General features: G+C 56.8%; 2 long non-coding RNA genes across 2 annotated transcripts, besides 7 other annotated features; both read left to right on the plus strand.

Annotated features, from left to right (window-relative positions):
* Nucleotides 140-733: an enhancer, noted in NCBI's record as "H3K4me1 hESC enhancer chr14:101145673-101146266 (GRCh37/hg19 assembly coordinates)". NCBI's record gives its function as "activates a minimal SCP1, AML or CMV promoter by ChIP-STARR-seq in naive H9 embryonic stem cells {active_cell/tissue: H9 hESC(naive)}" and the evidence as "EXISTENCE:reporter gene assay evidence [ECO:0000049][PMID:30033119]".
* Nucleotides 1328-1921: an enhancer, noted in NCBI's record as "H3K4me1 hESC enhancer chr14:101146861-101147454 (GRCh37/hg19 assembly coordinates)". NCBI's record gives its function as "activates a minimal SCP1, AML or CMV promoter by ChIP-STARR-seq in primed H9 embryonic stem cells {active_cell/tissue: H9 hESC(primed)}" and the evidence as "EXISTENCE:reporter gene assay evidence [ECO:0000049][PMID:30033119]".
* On the plus strand, nt 7738-8720 carry LOC105370668 (uncharacterized). The gene is made up of 3 exons (XR_001750887.2): nt 7738-8161; nt 8443-8544; nt 8635-8720. It is a non-coding gene; the product is annotated as an uncharacterized LOC105370668 (long non-coding RNA).
* Nucleotides 9742-10557: an enhancer, noted in NCBI's record as "H3K4me1 hESC enhancer chr14:101155275-101156090 (GRCh37/hg19 assembly coordinates)". NCBI's record gives its function as "activates a minimal SCP1, AML or CMV promoter by ChIP-STARR-seq in naive H9 embryonic stem cells {active_cell/tissue: H9 hESC(naive)}" and the evidence as "EXISTENCE:reporter gene assay evidence [ECO:0000049][PMID:30033119]".
* Nucleotides 10135-12684, plus strand: LOC124903385 (uncharacterized). The gene is made up of 3 exons (XR_007064339.1): nt 10135-10220; nt 11006-11102; nt 12598-12684. It is a non-coding gene; the product is annotated as an uncharacterized LOC124903385 (long non-coding RNA).
* Nucleotides 13061-13829: an enhancer, noted in NCBI's record as "H3K27ac-H3K4me1 hESC enhancer chr14:101158594-101159362 (GRCh37/hg19 assembly coordinates)". NCBI's record gives its function as "activates a minimal SCP1, AML or CMV promoter by ChIP-STARR-seq in naive H9 embryonic stem cells {active_cell/tissue: H9 hESC(naive)}" and the evidence as "EXISTENCE:reporter gene assay evidence [ECO:0000049][PMID:30033119]".
* Nucleotides 13061-14518: a biological region, named in NCBI's record as "P300/CBP strongly-dependent group 1 enhancer GRCh37_chr14:101158852-101160051".
* Nucleotides 13319-14518: an enhancer, noted in NCBI's record as "P300/CBP strongly-dependent group 1 enhancer chr14:101158852-101160051 (GRCh37/hg19 assembly coordinates)". NCBI's record gives its function as "activates an origin of replication core promoter dependent on BRD2, BRD4, P300/CBP, MED14 and CDK7 cofactors, with strong dependence on P300/CBP, by STARR-seq in HCT116 cells {active_cell/tissue: HCT116}" and the evidence as "EXISTENCE:reporter gene assay evidence [ECO:0000049][PMID:35650434]".
* Nucleotides 14993-15933: an enhancer, noted in NCBI's record as "H3K4me1 hESC enhancer chr14:101160526-101161466 (GRCh37/hg19 assembly coordinates)". NCBI's record gives its function as "activates a minimal SCP1, AML or CMV promoter by ChIP-STARR-seq in naive H9 embryonic stem cells {active_cell/tissue: H9 hESC(naive)}" and the evidence as "EXISTENCE:reporter gene assay evidence [ECO:0000049][PMID:30033119]".

Below are 17801 nucleotides of genomic sequence, written 5' to 3' on the forward strand. Positions count from 1 at the left end.
ACCTTCTGGGCCTCTTTCCTCCAAACCAAGTCTCAGGGCTTCTCCTATCTGTTCCTTGCAAGACCCACCGCAGTGCCCTCTCCTGAACAGGCATCAGTTGTCATTTTCTCCCAGAACTGAGTGTTAGTGCCTAGGTACAGTCTGCAGCCGACTCTCACCTCCCCAGCTATGAATACCATGCTCCTGTTAATTAAGCCCTAGGCGATCTGTGTTTTTTTTTGTTGTTTTTTTTTCTGATTGATCCATCACCCCATTGAGTCTTGCAGGGTGGTGTTGGTCCTTCTGGTGGTAATTGTGAATGAAGCAGGGGGACGACACATCCAGCTTGGGGAAACTGAGGCCCAGAGGGACAAGGCCTGGATCAAAGTTACACAGTTCATGGATGGCAGGGCTCAGGGAAGAGCCCTCCTGACCTCTGCCAGCAGCCTGCCCAGCCAGCACACGGTTCCTCCATCTAGGCCGAAAGATGGGCCTATGTCCATTCTCCCTCCTCCCTCCACCCTTCCCGAGGCCCTCTCAACCCTCAGCCAAGCCAGGGAAGGTAGAACGTGAGCGCCCCGTGGGTCCTCAGATGGTCTTGATTACCGACAGAAGGAGAAAGGCCTTTGCCCTGTGTCCTGCTAACTGTTCCAGGGAATCCAGTGCATCCAGAGGCCTGGGGGCCAAGGTCTCACACAGCTGACCGCGTCCAGCACGTTCTGCAGACTCCGGGTGTTTCCAGAGATCGCTGGGCCTGCACATTCCTTCCTGCTGAGGGAACTCCCCAGCAAGGCAGAGGAGGCGGCCAGCTCCAGGAGGGCCTTGTGGTGGGAAAGGAAAGAGCTTGTGTCCACAGGCGGCTAATGTGCACCAGGTGCTGACGAGTGTCTCTCTTGTGACATGAGAAAGTGGGCGCCACACTCTTCTTCTCTTGCAGAGGAGAATGTGACTTAGAGAGGAGATGATAATGGTGGTCCCCTTCCAGGCTGTTGACAACTGACTTGGTTCATGTGAGAGCTCAGCTCAGAGCCTGGGACCAGTGGGTGTTTACCAGGAATTCTACTGCTGTTGTCCCAAGCCACATGGCTAGGTGGCTGCAGACCAGGGATTTGAACCCGTGTCCAGGAGACAACCCAGGGTGGCTCCTTTGTGGTAAAGGCCACGCTGTTTGGGGATGGTCCTCCCTTCCTGCACTGCCACCAGCCTGATCTCCAACCCAGAGGCTCCCAAGTGGTCACAACCCTGGTTCGAGTGTCCTGAGGACCGGTGGGTGCGAGGCGACAGCCCCTCCCTCCAGTACCGGCTGAGAACGCCTGGCTGTGGGAAGCCGAGGATGACCACCCCTGAACTGGGGTCCCCTTCCCTCCGCCTCCCCCCATTGTCACAGGCCACGTGGGTGTCCTGCGGGCAGGGTTCTGCCACCACCACAGAGGGCTGGCCGGCAGCCCGCAAGTTTCCACCAACTAATAAGTTTTACAAACCTCCAGCCTCATAAAAAAGCTCACAGTGGCCTGAACAACCATGGCCAAGAGTCTTGTGGGAAAGCGGATGGCCTTGAGGCCAGGCAAAGGCGATCTCGGCCAGAGGCCACTTCCTGCCTCTACTCAGACCTTTCCTAAGGCTTCAGACGTGACCATGCCCCTGTGGCCCCCTGGATAAAGACTATGCTCCTCCCTCGAGGGACCGGAAGAGGCCCTCAGCCCCAGCTACCGTGCCCCAGCAGCCCCACGCCCTCCTGCTGCCAGTGAGCTGTCTCTGCACTCCTGCTGCTGAGCGCAGGCCTTTGCGTGGGCCTGAATGCCCTTCCTGTCCCACCATTAGGGACACAGAGATAACTGACACTTCTGTATCCCAGAGGGCCCCCGGGGGACACGGCATGTGATTGGACAGTGATATCACAGGCTCTGACTGGGACCTGAGAGGGAGCAACACGGAGTCCGCATCTGGCTTCTCGTCCGAACGTGGGCCAGGGTAGCAAGGGGGCACCCCGGCTGCAGGAAACAGCAGGCTCCAGGCAGAAGGGTCCATGATGCAAACACGTCCCTGAGCAGCCCGCTGGGGACCGGAGGGGCTGATGTGGAGAGTGCCTGGAGCAGAAGCGAGGGGGCATGGGTGGGGCAGTGGGCTGAAGGAGTGCGTGGGTTGTGGCAGAATTTTCAAGAAGGTGGGAGATGGGGGACACACACGTGGAGGCTGATGCTTTCAGGAGAGAGGGACGTTGGGTTTGTGATTCTGGGGTGGGCCTCTGGGTATGAGCTGGGATTTGGGCACGTAAGAGCCTTGGGCACATGGGGTCTTCAGTGGTAGGAGGATGAGGCCACCAGTAGCATGGCAGGAGGGGAGGGCATGGAGCCAGGACTGGCCCTCAGAGTGGCAGCTTTAGGAGGCAAGGGCAAGAGCCAGGCCTTTGGAGAAAGTCTGGGAAGGGGTCTTCAAAGAGGAGGGGGACTCGGGTCCCAAAGCCACAGGAAGAGGTGTTTCAGCAGGAGGGACCAGTCGGCTGCCTGGGGTGGCCACGACAGGAGCCGGGAGGGGTGTCATCGGCCTGGTAACCTGGGTCCTTGGCATCCTTGGGAGTGGGGGTAGAAGCTGGCGGGGGGCAGTGGCACTGGGTGTGAGCAGCTATGAGAAGATGGGGAGGACAGGCTGAGCTGAGGGGAGGGTGGGCGGGGATCTGCCTCCTGCCCCGTAACCCTGATGCTCACAGGGGCACTCCAAGGAGAGAAGGTTCACTCCGTCCCCTGCCAGGGATTGTCTGTGGGGGGCTCCGGGGGCTCTGCAGGACTTTGATGGACTCCTGGGGAGGCAGCTGTGGTTGTGGAGGGGACGCTGCTGCCCCCCGGAGCTGAGTTCATTCCCCATACCCTGCTCATCATGGTGCAAGCTGTCTGGGCCTCGGCTTGCTCATCTGCACTGTGAAAGCGCCAATGGGAACGTGCCGTGTGCTCCGGGTTGTGGAGAGGACTGGACGCCAAAGGTCCCCACAGGCAGGTTTTTCTGTCCCCGAAGTAGGTGGCCAGAGTCTCATAGCTTCTGATGGAGACTTAGCACTCAGTCTGGACGAGCCTTGGGGAGTTGAAGTATGGGCCTGCCCCTTGGCAGACTCAGAGCTGGCCCTTCTGTAAGTGTGCATTCAATCACATGAAAAGTGCCCAGGTCTGAGGAATCATCTGTTACCCAAGTCTCTTGGCAGCTGTCTCTGCTCAACGTGCTGGAGGGGCTGGGAACCACAGAGGGGCTGGCAGGGGCGGGCCAGCCTCCAGTAGGACCACGGCTTTGGTTTTCCATCTGTAAGTGGGGCTGTGGCTACGTGAAAGTGAGCCTGGAGGCCCGCGCCCCCTGAATCCTGATGAAAGGGTCTTCTGCTGCCTGACTATGGGAAGGAGGGGCCATATGGACCTGGAGCATGTTGACGCTGCCAGGGTCTTCCAACTGGACACAGAGGCCAGTCTCTCCCTTTGCAAGGGTCTTCCTTCAGCTGGCCTCAAAGAGAGGCTTCCAGGACCAGAGGGAAGGAACAGGGAGAGCCAGAGCCCACCTCCTCCTAACTCTGCCCACATTGCCCATGGCAGCTCCGTTTCTCCTCTGGAAGCCTCTCCCAAGGGTTGAAGAGAAGCTGGACCCTCCCAACTCCACACACACTCTGAAGATATGCTTCCTATCTGTGCACACATGATCATAGCAGCATCACACACAGTAGCCAGAAGGTGGACACAGCTGAGTGGCCACTGAAGGGTGGATGGAGAAACAAAATGTGGTCAGTCCACACGATGGAATACTATTCAGCCCTGAAAAGGAAGGAAATGCTGGCCCAGGCTACAACATGGGTGAACTTGAGGACATTATGTTGGGTGAAATAAGCCTGTCACAAAAAGTTAAATATGATTCCCTTTATGTGAAGGAGTCAAAATCATAGAGACAGAAAGTAGGATGGAGGCTGCCAGGGCTGGGGGACAGGGAATAGGGAGTTAGTGTTTAATCTTTTGGGGTTTCAGTTTTGCAGGACGAAAGTTGTTCTGGAGACAGACAGTGGTGATGATTGCACACCAGTGGAAATGTACTTAATACCACTGAAATGTACACTTAAAAATGGTGAAGATGGTAAAGATTCTTTTACTACAATTAAAAAATCAAGATTTAGGCTGGGTGCGGTGGTTCACGCCTGTAATCCCAGCACTTTGGGAGGCCGAGGCGGGCGGATCACCTGAGGTCGGGAGTTCGAGACCAGCCTGACCAACATGGTGAAACCCCACCCCTGCTAAAAATACAAAATTAGCCGGGCGTGGTGGTACATGCCTGTAATCCCAGCTACTCAGGAGGCTGAGGCAGAAGAATCGCTTGAACCCGGGAGGTGGAGGTTGCAGTGAGCCAAGATCGTGCCATTGCACTCCAACCTGGGCAACAAGAGTGAAACTCCATCTCAAGAAAAAAATAAAATCAAGATTTGTATTTCATTAAGAGTTCATTAAATCAGTATGGTTCACAATAACCGTCCTTTGCTGTCAAGCTATTACGAAAGATCTCATCAGAAGTCTGCATGTCACTCTTCTTCTCTTCCTTCCTTCCTCACCCTCACGCTTGTTGGTCAGAGCCCTCTCTTAAAGGAAGAAAGCCCAGGGCTCCTGGCCTCCAGCCCAGAGCTCCAGGGAAGGGGCCGGCCATGTCTGAGCTAGGGAAGAGGCTGCAGAAGATAAAGGTTCTGGGGACATGCTCCAAGTTAGAAAGCCAGGTAAGGCTCCCTGACGTCCGCCCAGCAGGACAAAAGCAGACAATTATGGGATGCACCAGAGTCGTGCAGCCCCTTTGGCCCCTGCAATATCAGACGCTTCAGAGACCTGACTGTCTTGCTGTTTGGCTGACGCCGGCCTTAGAAGAACAAGCAGGTCAGAGGATGGAATTAATTTCCTAAAATTGAATGTCATGTTGAAAAGTCATCTCAGGATTTCCTGCCAGAGGGAAGGAGAAATGGCCATTTGGTCTTTGCTCTCTCAATAGCCTGTTGTAGCCTGCCACTTACATCTTTAGTTTTGGGTTGAACCGCATGAAAGTGCCATGTGTTAGGGCAGGAATCATAGAAATAAGCACGTTTATGTAGCATAATTGAATAAAAATAACAGTGAAAAGGTGGTTCCAGAGATGAAGGGAAGAAACAAAACAGACCTCGGCTCTCTGTTTTCTGGGGAAGTACCGGTACTGAGATATCAGATCATTTTGCACGTAATGACACCCCAGTGCTGTGATGAAATTGTCACCAATGCATTAGAGGACTTGAAAATGATATAGCCTCTTTGGAAATGAATAGGCAAGCACGTAGGAAGAGTTATCAAAGGCCAGATGCCCCTTGTTAAGCAGTCCTCCTCCTCCTGGAGATATGCTTCTAAGAAAACCACCTCCAAAGAAGGGAAAAATCATTTTCCTGAAGGTGTTCCACGCGGTGTGAGTTTGACCCTGAAAATCGGAGGTGGCCTCTGCCCTGGGTAACACCAGGACAGCTAAACCCGTAATAGATGCCAGAGACGGGGCAACAGGAACCCCTCCATAGAGAAGGGAAAATCAGACCAGTATGGCGCCGAAGCCCCCTGGTGAAAATGCCACTCATGTTGACCCTGTCCCCAGAAGTTTCCTCTAGGGAATTTTACCTGGTTACTCTCACGGTAGCTAAAATCTGTCAGTTTCATCACTTGGAAGTGGAAGCTTCAGGGGTGAGACCTCTGTGTGTGTGTGTATTTGTGCATGCTTAAAAAACCTCCAACAGGCTGGGCGTGGTGGCTCACACCTGGAATCCCAGAACTTTGGGAGGCCGAGTCAGGATTGCTTGAGCCTGGGAGCTCAAGGTCAGTCTGGGCAACATAGTAAGAGACCATCACTAGCAAAAAAAAAAAAAAAAAAAAAAAAAAATTAGCTGGGCATGGTGGACCTGTAGTCCCAGCTACTCTGGAGGCTGAGGTGGGAGGATCAATTGAGCCCAGGAATTCAAGGTTTCAGTGAGCTATGATTGCACCACTGCACTCCAGCCTGTGTGGCAGAGAGAGACCCTGTTTGAAAAAAAAACAACAAACAAACTCAAAAACAATAAAACCCTCAAACACAGAGTCAGCTAATGAAACAAGACAGGGGAGCGGGCAGAGATCAAATCCGGCCGTGCCTCAGGCTGCCGCAACAGAACTGGGGGCGGCTGGGTGGGGCGTGGGGTCAGACGGGTGCTTCCCTACTTTTATCAGAATGGGCTTTAATGCTTAAGGCTCTCATCCTTTCTTTAAAGATAGAACAACAACAACAACAAGAAAGCTGGACCCAATCTGTGCTCAGACTTGCGGGGTTGGCTCACATTTCCTTCTCGGCCAGGTGTCCTCTGTTACTTTTTGCGCCCTCCCAGGACCTCGAGGGAACCAAACCCTGCTACCCCTCCACCTCAGCCCCCTCCACCTCAGCCCCCTCCACCGCAGCCCCCTCCACCACAGCCCCCTCCACCACAGCCCCCTCCACCTCAGCCCCCTCCACCTCAGTCCCCTCCACCGCAGCCCCCTCCACCGCAGCCCCCTCCACCTCAGCCCCCTCTCCACCACAGCCCCCTCTCCACCTCAGCCCCCTCCACCTCAGCCCCCTCCACCACAGCCCCCTCCACCTCAGCCCCCTCCACCTCAGCCCCCTCCACCTCAGCCCCCTCCACCTCAGCCTCCTCTCCACCTCAGCCCCCTCCACCGCAGCCCCCTCCACCGCAGCCCCCTCCACCTCAGCCCCCTCTCCACCTCAGCCCCCTCCACCTCAGCCCCCTCCACCTCAGCCCCCTCCACCTCAGCCCCCTCCACCTCAGCCCCCTCCACCTCAGCCTCCTCTCCACCTCAGCCCCCTCCACCGCAGCCCCCTCCACCGCAGCCCCCTCCACCTCAGCCCCCTCTCCACCTCAGCCCCCTCCACCGCAGCCCCCTCCACCTCAGCCCCCTCCACCTCAGCCCCCTCTCCACCTCAGCCCCCTCCACCTCAGCCCCTCCACCGCAGCCCCCTCCACCGCAGCCCCCTCCACCTCAGCCCCTCCACCGCAGCCCCCTCCACCGCAGCCCCCTCCACCTCAGCCCCCTCCACCACAGACCCCTCTCCACCTCAGCCCCCTCCACCTCAGCCCCCTCTCCACCTCAGCCCCCTCCACCTCAGCCCCTCCACCTCAGCCCCCTCCACCTCAGCCCCTCCACCTCAGCCCCCTCCACCTCAGCCCCCTCTCCACCACAGCCCCCTCTCCACCTCAGCCCCCTCCACCTCAGCCCCCTCCACCACAGCCCCCTCCACCTCAGCCCCCTCCACCTCAGCCCCCTCTCCACCTCAGCCCCCTCCACCTCAGCCCCCTCCACCTCAGCCCCTCCACCTCAGCCCCCTCCACCTCAGCCCCTCCACCTCAGCCCCCTCCACCTCAGCCTCCTCCACCTCAGCCCCCTCTCCACCACAGCCCCCTCTCCACCGCAGCCCCCCCTCCACCTCAGCCCCCTCCACCTCAGCCCCCTCCACCTCAGCCCCCTCCACCACAGCCCCCTCTCCACCGCAGCCCCCTCTCCACCGCAGCCCCCTCCACCTCAGCCCCCTCCACCTCAGCCTCCTCTCCACCTCAGCCTCTCCACCTCAGCCCCCTCCACCTCAGCCCCCTCTGCTGCCACAGTCCCTTCAGGGTCCCAGGCAGCTTCACCAGGAGTGGGTTGGGGGCTGGAGAGGCAGGAGGGGGAGGGGAAGAGGGGAATCCTCCCAGCAGGAAAGAGCCACTCAGCTGAAGGGGCCTGGGGGCTGCCCAGGGCTCACTCCCATCTGACCGCGCCCACCATCCCACTCTCTCTCCACCACCCTCCCCAGGGCTACAAACTCCTTGCACAGGGGAGGAGGGAGAGCCTCCAGAGGGAGCCCCTCTTCCTGGTCCCGGGATCCCAGGCCTCTTCCTCTCTCCCTGGTTGCCTAGGAGCGGTCATTGTTCTGAAGCCCCAGAGCAAAGGGGATCTCAAACAAATGCTCCATCCTGGGGCCTTCCTGCTGGATCTGACATTTGGGATGTTTTTAATTCCTGGAGAGACAGATTTGCCACAGGGGAGAAATGACCTCTCTGTGGGCCGCTCCTGGTTAGGCTGCCTAGGACGCAAGGGAGCGAGGCAGGAGAGACCATCTCTGTTTTACGGGGCTCTCCCGGTATCTTCAGAGAGTCCAGGTAAAGGCCTGCCTTGGTGCCAATGGCAGAAACCTTACTGGCCCAGACCAGGCCTGGGATTCCTGTGGTGCCCTCGGCTCGCTGCTAGCATGGTCTCAGAGGACTCATGTTGCCCCCATGATGGGAGCCCATGCAGAGTGGGTGGGTGGAGAGGCCAGGAGGCGGCAGGTGCAGATGCGTGTTTGAGGATTGCGTGCAGGGAGGGCGAGGCGGGGGCCCGTGGTCAGTTAGGATCTGTCCGTTGTCAAATGCAGGGAATGAAGTGGCTCTCTCTCTTTCAGGCCAGCGCCAGGCAGGTGGACAGTGTTTCCAGTGGCCTTCCTGTGGCCTCGACATGGTCAGCTCCCGGGCTGCCTCTGTGGCTAGCTCTGGGACCTTCCCAGGTGCCACATCCCTGGCTCCATGGGACCCTCTCCAGGCCTGGGGCCAGCAGGACCCCTGGAGATGTGCCCCTCTTTCTCTGGTTCACACAGCACCATCGACTTGGCCCCCAGCATGTCCTCAGCCACCGTCATCATCTCTCCATCCCTCAGCCACCGTCATCATCTCTCCATCCCTCAGCCACCGTCATCATCTCTCCACCCCTCAGCCACCGTCATCATCTCTCCATCCCTCAGCCACCGTCATCATCTCTCCATCCCTCAGCCAACGTCATCATCTCTCCATCCCTCAGCCACGATCCCAGTTGAGGTCACATCCTACCCACAGGGGCCCTACTGTGCCCCAGGTCCCTCGGCGACCAAGCTCCGGTCCTCATCTCACGTTCACTCTGAACCAAGGCAAGCTGTCTGGACTTCCACCCTGACCATGCCACTGCCCTGCTCACAGCTGGGGCCTGCCAGCCTCGGGATACAGTCCTTGGTCCCCCATTCCAGCCTCTCCACCAGGCCTGCCTCCCTCCAGTCATGTGGCAGCCGTGCATGTGGCCCCTCACTCCGGCCTTGGCATGCCTGTTCCCTGTGCTGGGATGGCCCCATCGTCCCCACCTCACCCTCTGCTTCCTGGCTACCTCCCTCCTCCTGAAGCTCCGCTTACTCCTCCTCTCCTCCAGGAAGCCCTCCCTCACTACCTCCCTCCCGGAACTTCTCCTCCACTTTGGGGCTAACTCTCCCTTCCTGGCCCCCCACCCCCAGCCCAGTCTAATTGGAGTGTGGCCGGAGCTTCAGTCAGGGCAGTGCAGGTTAGCAAATGGTTGTGGATGAGTGCCTGTGGGCATGTATGGGCTTCCAGTTGCCTCTGCAGGACTTGGGTGGGGGAGGAGGTACAGCCCCCCGGGTGCCCCCGTCCACTCCCCTTACCGTAACACCGACCTTCACCAGCCCTCCACTTCCTGGTGAAAAGCAGACCTGTGGCCTTGGGCGTCTGCAGCAAGGCCTCAGCTTGGGTCGCTTCTCTCCTGTCAGCGTGGGCCAGCGTGGGCTGCTGTGGCCCCGGCTGCTCCAGGTTGGGGGGATTAATTGGCCTGTTGCTGGAGGCAGGCAGAGGCTGGACGGCGGGTAGGCAGAGCAGGCGAGGGGGACCCAAGGCCTGAGCCCCTGTGTTTGCGGGGTGAGGGCAGTGTCCCTGGAGGGAGGGGGTGCTTCTGGCCCTAGGCGAGGGTCCCTGGTGAGCGCCTCTGCAGGGACCCATCCACAGGGCAGCCCACATTAGCATTCTCTGCACAAGAGTTTGCAAAGGAATGACTCACACTCTGGCTGACTAATTTGAAAGTAAGCTGCTTTTGCTGCAAGAAGGTTCAGTGAATCTTAAAAACTGCGTGATGGAGATTTTATTCCTTGTTCTAGACCTTTCCTTCTGCCAGGAAGGTGGCTCTGCCTCGGTTTACGCCTTTGGTTTGCTCACCTGGGGAAGTGGTTGGGGGATTGCGGGAAAACTGAGACTCCCAGGCTTGGCTTGCTTAGTGCTCACAGGTCGCATGCCCTCGGCAAATGACTGAACCTCACCGGACAGCAGGGCGCACCCACGGCACAACACACACATTTGGCGGAATGGGGACCCAAGCCCTGCTGAACCAGGATGAGGACCTCCTCCCACACGGGGTGGTGGGCTTCACAGAGAGGTACATGAGGGGAAGGATTATTTTCCCCTTTTACAGACAGGTAGCCCAACAGTGCAGAGAGGTTAAATCATCCATCTGAGGTCACACAACTGCTAGGTACAGAAGGTGGGATCACCCCACCGGGCTGGTCACTGCCCTCAGCCTTCCCAGCTTAGTTCCCCACCCTGAGTTAGAGCAGAGCCTCAAGCTTGAGGAGATGACTTCTTTTCTTTCTTTCCTTCCTTCCCTTCCCTTCCCCTCCCCTCCCCTCCCCTCCCCTCCCCTTTCATCCCCTCCCTTTCCTTCCTTCCTTCCTTCCTTCCTTCCTTCCTTCCTTCCTTCCTTCCTTCCTTCCTTCCTTTCTCTCTCTCTCTCTCTTTCTTTCTTTCTTTCTTTCTTTCTTTCTTTCTTTCTTTCTTTCTTTTTCTTTCTTTCTTTCCTTCCTTCCTTCTTTCTTTCTTTCCTTCTTTCCTTCTTTCCTTCTTTCTTTTTTTTGATGGAGTTTCGTTGTTGTTGCCCAGGCTGGAGCACAATGGGGCGATCTCGGCTCACCGCAACCTCCGCCTTCCGGGGTTCAACTGATTCTCCTGCCTTAGCCTCCTTAGTAGCTGCGATTAGAGGCATGCGCCACCATGCCCGGCTAATTTTATACTTTTAGTAGAGACGGGGTTTCTCCATGTTGGTTAGGCTGGTCTTGAACTCCCGACCTCAGGTGATCTGCCCAGCTTGGCCTCCCAAATTGCTGGGATTACAGACATGAGCCACCGCGCCCGGCCGAGGGGATGACTTTTATCTGTGTCCTACAGGAGGCGAGTTGCTCTGGAAGAGTCTCAAGCTGGGAAGTGGGAAATCGCGTCTGAGCATCCGTCACGAAGGGAGGGAGCCCTCCAGGAGGTGCTGCAGGTGGGAGGCTGAGAGTGAAAGGTGGCCTGAGCTGTGTGGGACAAAGGATGCACCTCGGAGATGGACCCTAGCTCTGGTGTTGACGGGAGAGCGGATGAGGGAAGGAGAATCCTAAAGGGAACTCCCGAGACCCTGAATTGAACAATTCATCTCCTCTAGGGCCTGACCTCCCTTGACCGCCTACTTTCTTTCTTTCTTTTTTGAGACAGGGTCTCGCTCTATCGCTCAGGCTGGAGTGCAGTGGAACCATCTTGGCTCACTGCAGCCTTGACCTCCTGGGCTCAAGCAGTCCTCCTACCTCAGACTCCCAGGTAGCTGGGACTAGAGACGTGCACCACCATGCCTGGCTAAGTTTTCAATTTTTTCTAGAGACAGGTTCTTGTGATGTTTCCCAGGCTGGTCTCAAACTCCTGAGCTCAACTGATCCTCCTGCCTCGGCCTCCCAAAGTGCTGGGATTACAAGTGTGAGCCACCGCACTTGGCTGGTCCCTGCTTTAAATTGTCCATACCGCATGGACTGGCCCCCTCCCCTCCCTAGCTTTGGTTTTCTCCTGAGCCCTTATCACCATCTGACACACTCTCTAGGTGTATTGTCCATCTGCAGCACAGACAGAGGACACTCTGGGGCTGGGTGAACAGTGTCCACCTTCCTGCAGCAAAGCGTTGCCCCCAAGTCTCCTCTTGGGCAGCTGCTCAGGGTGAGGGGGTGTGTTGAAGCCTTGAGGGAGAGTGACCTCTGCAGCATCCCCTGCGCCTTTGCCCAACTGACCTCAGGAAGGGAGGGGATGGAGGTGGTGGAGGCCACAGCATGAATTCCCTGCACCCTGAGCCCTCAGGCTGCTGAGTGCGATGGCTTGTTGGCTACATGGCTTTGGGAGAGCTAGTTGCACATCCTGTGCCTCAGTTTCCTCACCTGCACATGGGAATCATCATACGGGCTGGTCATCACGTGGTTCTTACCCTGCAGCGCTCGCAGTAGCCCGCTTTAAAGATGGACGTGATGAATGAATGGATTAGTACACACTGGGGACAGAGGGAGTGCTGGATAAAGTTTTGCTGTGATGCCTCTGTTTTTTTACTTGCTGTGTTTCTCTGGGCAAGTGGCTCGGCGTCTCTGAGACCCAGCTGCTTCACCTGCAAAGTTGTGATAACGATGGTGCCTGTTTCCCAGGGAATTCGGGAGGTCTTGATGAGGTGGCTCATAGAAGACGCTTGGCATGAGGCCTGGCACCTTTTAAGTGCTCCATTAGAGCTCACTGTGATGATTATGAAGTGGCAGCGCTGGGACTGGCGCCCAGCCCGGGCGGGCTTACCCGCCTCGCTGCACCGACCTCCTCGGCAGCGACCTCACCTTCCATGGGAAGCTGTTTCCTTCTGGCAGCAGATGATGGGCAGAAAATTGAAAAACCTAGTCAAAGTAGCATATTCGTTTCCTAGAGCCCCCGCTCCTTCCCATCACCGTAATACAAGCCAGAGATAATATCCTCCCAAATAGGTTTACTGAAGTCAACCCATTACAAGTGCGGACATGCTTGGAGATAACAGAAGCCTGCGAGTTCTTAATATCCTGCCTGGCATGCGGGAGGAATAAATGAGCGGCGAGACCAGACAGCCCCGGCTGCAAATACGCTGCCACGTCCCTCGGCCATCCATCAGCCCGCGTGTCAGGTGGTGTCTTTGGCCCCGGGTTTGGGAAATATTGTCACCATAGGGATGGAGTCAAGTGCCTCCTTTCAAAAATAGATCTGCTTAACATTTATTAACTTAGACAACTGCACCAGAAAAACAATCAATTCCTTGAACTCTATAATCACGCACCTCACATGGCTCCCTTCCTTAGTGTCAGTTCTGGTGATAAAGGTGGTTTGGGTCCAATGGGGAGGTGAATGGCCTGGAAGCGGAGGTACGAGAGGGTGCGAGGCGAGGTGTCTGGCTGTGATGTTCCGCAGCGAGCTGAGACCCAATTACTTTTTGACCTACTAGTCTCCAGAGCCAGTCATTCATCACGCTAGCTGGGGCCAGGGGCCTCCTCAGTCCCTGCCCGGCGCCGGGCTGGGGCCAAGAGCATAGAGAAAGCAAAAAGTGGTCCTGCCCCCAAAGAAGCTGCCATTAATTGAGAAGAGACAGTGACAAGTATCTGGGATCACTCTTGGTGATCTCATCCTGTCCATGGCTGTAAATTCCACTCATGCTCTGATGAGTCCTGAATTTATGTTGGCAGCCAGGACCTCTGCCTTGAACCCCGAACACTGCCATCCAAAAATCCTCTCCATACCTTCACTGGGATGTCTAATGGGCATCCTCAACATGCCCCTGCCCCAGGCTGAGTCCCCAGTCCTCCCTGCGGCTGCTGTCCTGCAGCCAGCCCCATCTCCTGCAGCCAAAGTGGGGGTCCTCTTTGACTCCTCCCCTTCCCCAACACCCCACAGCCAACCTGTGAAGAAGGCCTGTGAGACCTGCCCTCTGAGACTAGCAGGTTCCAGCCACACCAAATGGCCTCCGTGGATGGCTGGGGCAGCTCCCACCTGGCCCCGTGCTTCCACGCGTGCTGTGCCTTCCCATTCATCTCGACCTAGCGGCTGGAGGAATCCAGCACAGGCATGAGCTGCACCAAGCCCTCCTCTGTCCACAGCCCGCCAAGGGCTCCTGGGTCACCCGGCCAAACATGAGTCCCTGCCAAAACCTCTGAAGCCCTGGCGCCCTCCAGTCCCTGTGCCTCCCTGAGCTCATTTCCTACCACTCGCCACCTCTCACTCCACCACAGCCACACGCACTTCCCATGTACTCTGCAAACACGCCGGCCACACTCTTGCCCCAGGGCCCTTGCGCTCGCTGGCGCCTGGGCGTTCTTCTTCGGGTCTGCTCCCTGGGCCTGAAACTGCACCTTCCCCTGAGCACATTCCTCTAATACTAGCTCGCTCGCCTTGTTTGAGGTCTGTCTCCACCGGCAGAAAGTGAGGCTGGGGTGGCTGAGGTCTGTGCGGTCATTGCCGAGTGCCCAGGGCCTTGCTGGGCACATGCTGAGCACTCAGGAAGTGCGTGCTGAATGAGTAAACGAGTGAATCACTGATCGAATGACACATAGCTCTCCCTGAGAGGGCTGCCCACCCTCCCTGCCACTTCAGAGACTTCCGCTGCGGCTCTTTCATGGAGGCGGCGTCCTCTCCCAGTGGACAAGCTGGAGCCTGCCCCTGCCTGGCTCTGCTCTTGTCATGGACGGTGTGGATACAGGCTCAACCCCCACCTGCCCCTGCCTGAGTCTGCAGGGACAGTGATATCTCTCGAGGTCACTTCATCTCTGAAAAGACCTTCCTCCTTCCCTCTCCATGGACGGAACATCTTCCTCCCTCCCTCTCCATGGCTGCAACATGTCAGCCTCTCCCCTATGTTTCCCTTCTGGAATATTCCATTCAATAATTCCTCTTCCAACCGCCTGTCCCTCTGGAAACCTCAATTCACAATTAAAATCTCCCACTCTCTTGACCACCCCTACCTGGCTCCTCCAGCATCGGTCCCTACCCCACGACCCAAGTGGAAACCTGGGGTTCCTGGTGCCTCCCCGGCCACCCCCTGCTCCCCTCTCCCCCAGCCCCCTTCTCTGCAGCTCCTGAGTCTCCACGCCCCGTCCACCCCTTCTGCGTACCCACCCCTCCCAAGCACTGGATGGTGAGGCGAGGACTAGGCCCTGCAGCTTGTGGGGCACAGCAGGCCCCCAAGAGAGGGTGAGACTGGGCAGGGCAGCGGACAGCCCTCATGCTGGAGTAAAGAGGTGCCACTTATGCATGCGACGAACCCCTTAAAGATGAGCCGCACAGCCTCGGGCCTCTCGGAAGCTTCCAGGCTGTATGCCCTGTGTTCTCTATTGATACAGTTCAGTTCGATCCACTTAACAAACATTTACCCAGGGCACACAGAGCGGGGGCGGCCCTTGGGAGGTGCCCTTCCGCCCACCCCTCGGAGCCGACTGCCTCTGCCCCTTCTCCCCTCCTTCTGTCTCATCCTCTTCCTCTGAGCCCTCTCCTTCTCTTCTCTCCTTCCTCTCCCTCCTCCCCATCTCTTTCTTCTCCTCCTCTGCCTCTTCTGGAGGCTCCTCCAGAGACCCCTTCCCCCCACCCGACTCTCAGGGTCTCACACTCTGCCTCAGCCCCGAGCTCCTGGCTGCCCGAGCCCGGCTGGCTCTGAAGGAGGGATGGGGCGGGGAAGCGGGCTTCCTTGGGTCCACTTTGCAGATGGCTGCGAAGATGGCCAAGGAAAGGGAGACCCAGGCAGGGGGAACTGCCTGGGCAAAGGCACACGGGTGGGAGGCAGGTGGCCTTCCCCGGGACCAGAACACACGGCGGTCAGAAGGCAGCAGCAACCATGCCTACACAGCAACAGCGGCTGCGGCCAGTGCTGCGTTACACTCGCGCCTTCTTGACGGAGCATGACTAGGGCTGCTCCTTGGTGGAGGGGCCAGGGACATCTGAGTGGGCTTGCAGAGATAAGCCTGCCATGGGGGCTAAGGACTGGGCCTGGTTTGGGACTGGCTGTAGGCGCTACTTCAGGGAGGATCCTGTCCACTCACCTTTGTGTCCCCCAGTTGGGCCTGGGTCGTGGAAACGCTAGCAGTGGTCAGCTCCAGCCTGTGCTTACTATGTGTCTGGCGTAGATCCAGCACATTTGCACGGATGTAAACTCCCAAGCCCTCCCAGGGTCCCTCAGAGGAAGGCACTGCTATTATTCCTATTTTACAGATAAGGGAATGAAGGCACAGAGAGGTTTAGTAGCCTGGCCAAGGACACACAGCACAGCAGGGATTCAAACTGTGGGAGTAGGTGACCTGCAAATGCTTGTGGCATTGACGAGTGAACAGACAAGCTGAAACTGTCACCACATGCCTCTGACAAGACGGAGGGTGACCACAGCCAGGCTCTGGGCCAGCTGTGCCAGGGCAGAGACAGATGGATTTCTTCTCCCAGCTTGTTCCTTGGCCTGGTGATGGGGAGAAGTGAATTCTCTTAGCTGACTCTGTTCATTCATTTGCTCATCTGCTGATTCATTCATTCATTCATTTATTCATCAAGTACTAATCAAACACTCAGGCCCTGGGGAATGAGGGGTGACAAAGACCCAGCTCCTGTCCTCCCTGGTGTAGCCGCCTGGCCAGCAGGAAGACACTTAGATGGGGCTCCACAAGAGGCAGCGTGGTGTGGTCAGAGAGTGGTCCCCGAGGGGCCTCCGGGGATGAGGAGCTTGCAGGCTGAGCTCATGCAAGGAAAACAGGCTGGGTATCCTCTGCTCTGTCTGGGAGGCTCAGTGCTCTCCCGCTCGCTTGGCGGGGCACCGACCTCCTGCCGCCCGGAGCCCTCCTGTCTCTGACTTTGTTTTCCTTCCTCTCATCTTTCTCGCCCACTTCTAATTTATCTGTCTGCGCCGGTGTCACTTCCTAAGCCCCCCTAAAGCCTGTGCAGAATGAACTGGGGATAAATAACATGAACGCCGCCAGCGACGGCATGTTGGGACGGCCAGATCCGCCCAGAAGGTGATCAGAAAAACTTCAAGGACTTAATTGTTCCGATTGCCTTGATTTTTCTATTCTAGCCAAGAGCCTCTAAGGCCAAAATGGTGTCCCTGTCTACACCTCCCCTCTTCCACCCCCTGATATTCTCTAAACCAAATTAAAAAAAAAATGTCTGTGTGGGTCAGGGAGGAGGGGTTCCTCTGAAATTGCTGAATGAGAGTATTCGGCCTTGAGAAAGTGGCCTCCAAGTCAACCGGCTTTGTAAGTCACTCTTCATTTAAGATAAAAAGTGAATTTGTTCATCTTATCCATATTTTGTCGTTTGTTCTAAGACATTTTTTTCCCCTCAACTCTCTCTGAACAAAAATAGCCATTTGACCATGAGTTAGAAAGCCGGGGGCCCTTCCGGCCCCTGCTAGCCGCCCCCGCTTACATCTGGAGAGCACAGCCACTTTCAGCACCCCTCCCTGTTTTCATCTGGGTTTCTCTAAAAGATGAGGGTTCTAAATGCTGTCGACAAAACCGATCACCTGCTCACCCTTCCTAATGGGGCTAAGCGCTCCGGGGTGAGGTGTCTCGGAGCACCGCACTGTGGCTGCTGACAGATTCAGCACGAGCCAGGCCAGGGAGAGGGTCTCATCTTTTATGGACCTATCTCGTCCATATTCTTTTACAAAAATCTCACTCTGTTGAAAATTCCTTTCCTAGTTATTTTATCATCAGATAAATATGTCTTCAAAATCACAGCCATAAACATGACATCCAAAGACCTAAAAAAAAAAAGAATCCAAATCTCCAGCCTCCCTGTTAATCCAACATAAAGGAGCCAACCGACGTCACCACCGAACTGGTTGGTGAGGAGTTGAATGGAGGTACTCTTAGCTCTGTTCTTCTCACTGACACATTCAGCCTTATCTGATACTGAAGGCTTGAGGCAAGTTCCCTGGCTGCACCATCTTCCCCCGAGATTGTGGGAAGGCAGCTGGTCTTTGATCTGCCCGTGTGATTGTGCACAGACTGTGCTTTCCACAGGACTGATCCGAGCCAGGCGCGCTCTCCACTCAGTAGCAAAACCCTCTGGTGCTGCTCCTTTGGAACACGCATGACCAGCATGTAAATATTGCTGCCAGGGGCTGGTTTCTTGCAGCGGCGGCTCAGAGTCTTCTTGTCTGGTTCAGTGGCCTGCCAAACCCTTGTGG

The sequence above is a fragment of the Homo sapiens genome, chromosome 14 (assembly GCF_000001405.40).
Source record: "Homo sapiens chromosome 14, GRCh38.p14 Primary Assembly".
Taxonomy (NCBI): domain Eukaryota; kingdom Metazoa; phylum Chordata; class Mammalia; order Primates; family Hominidae; genus Homo; species Homo sapiens.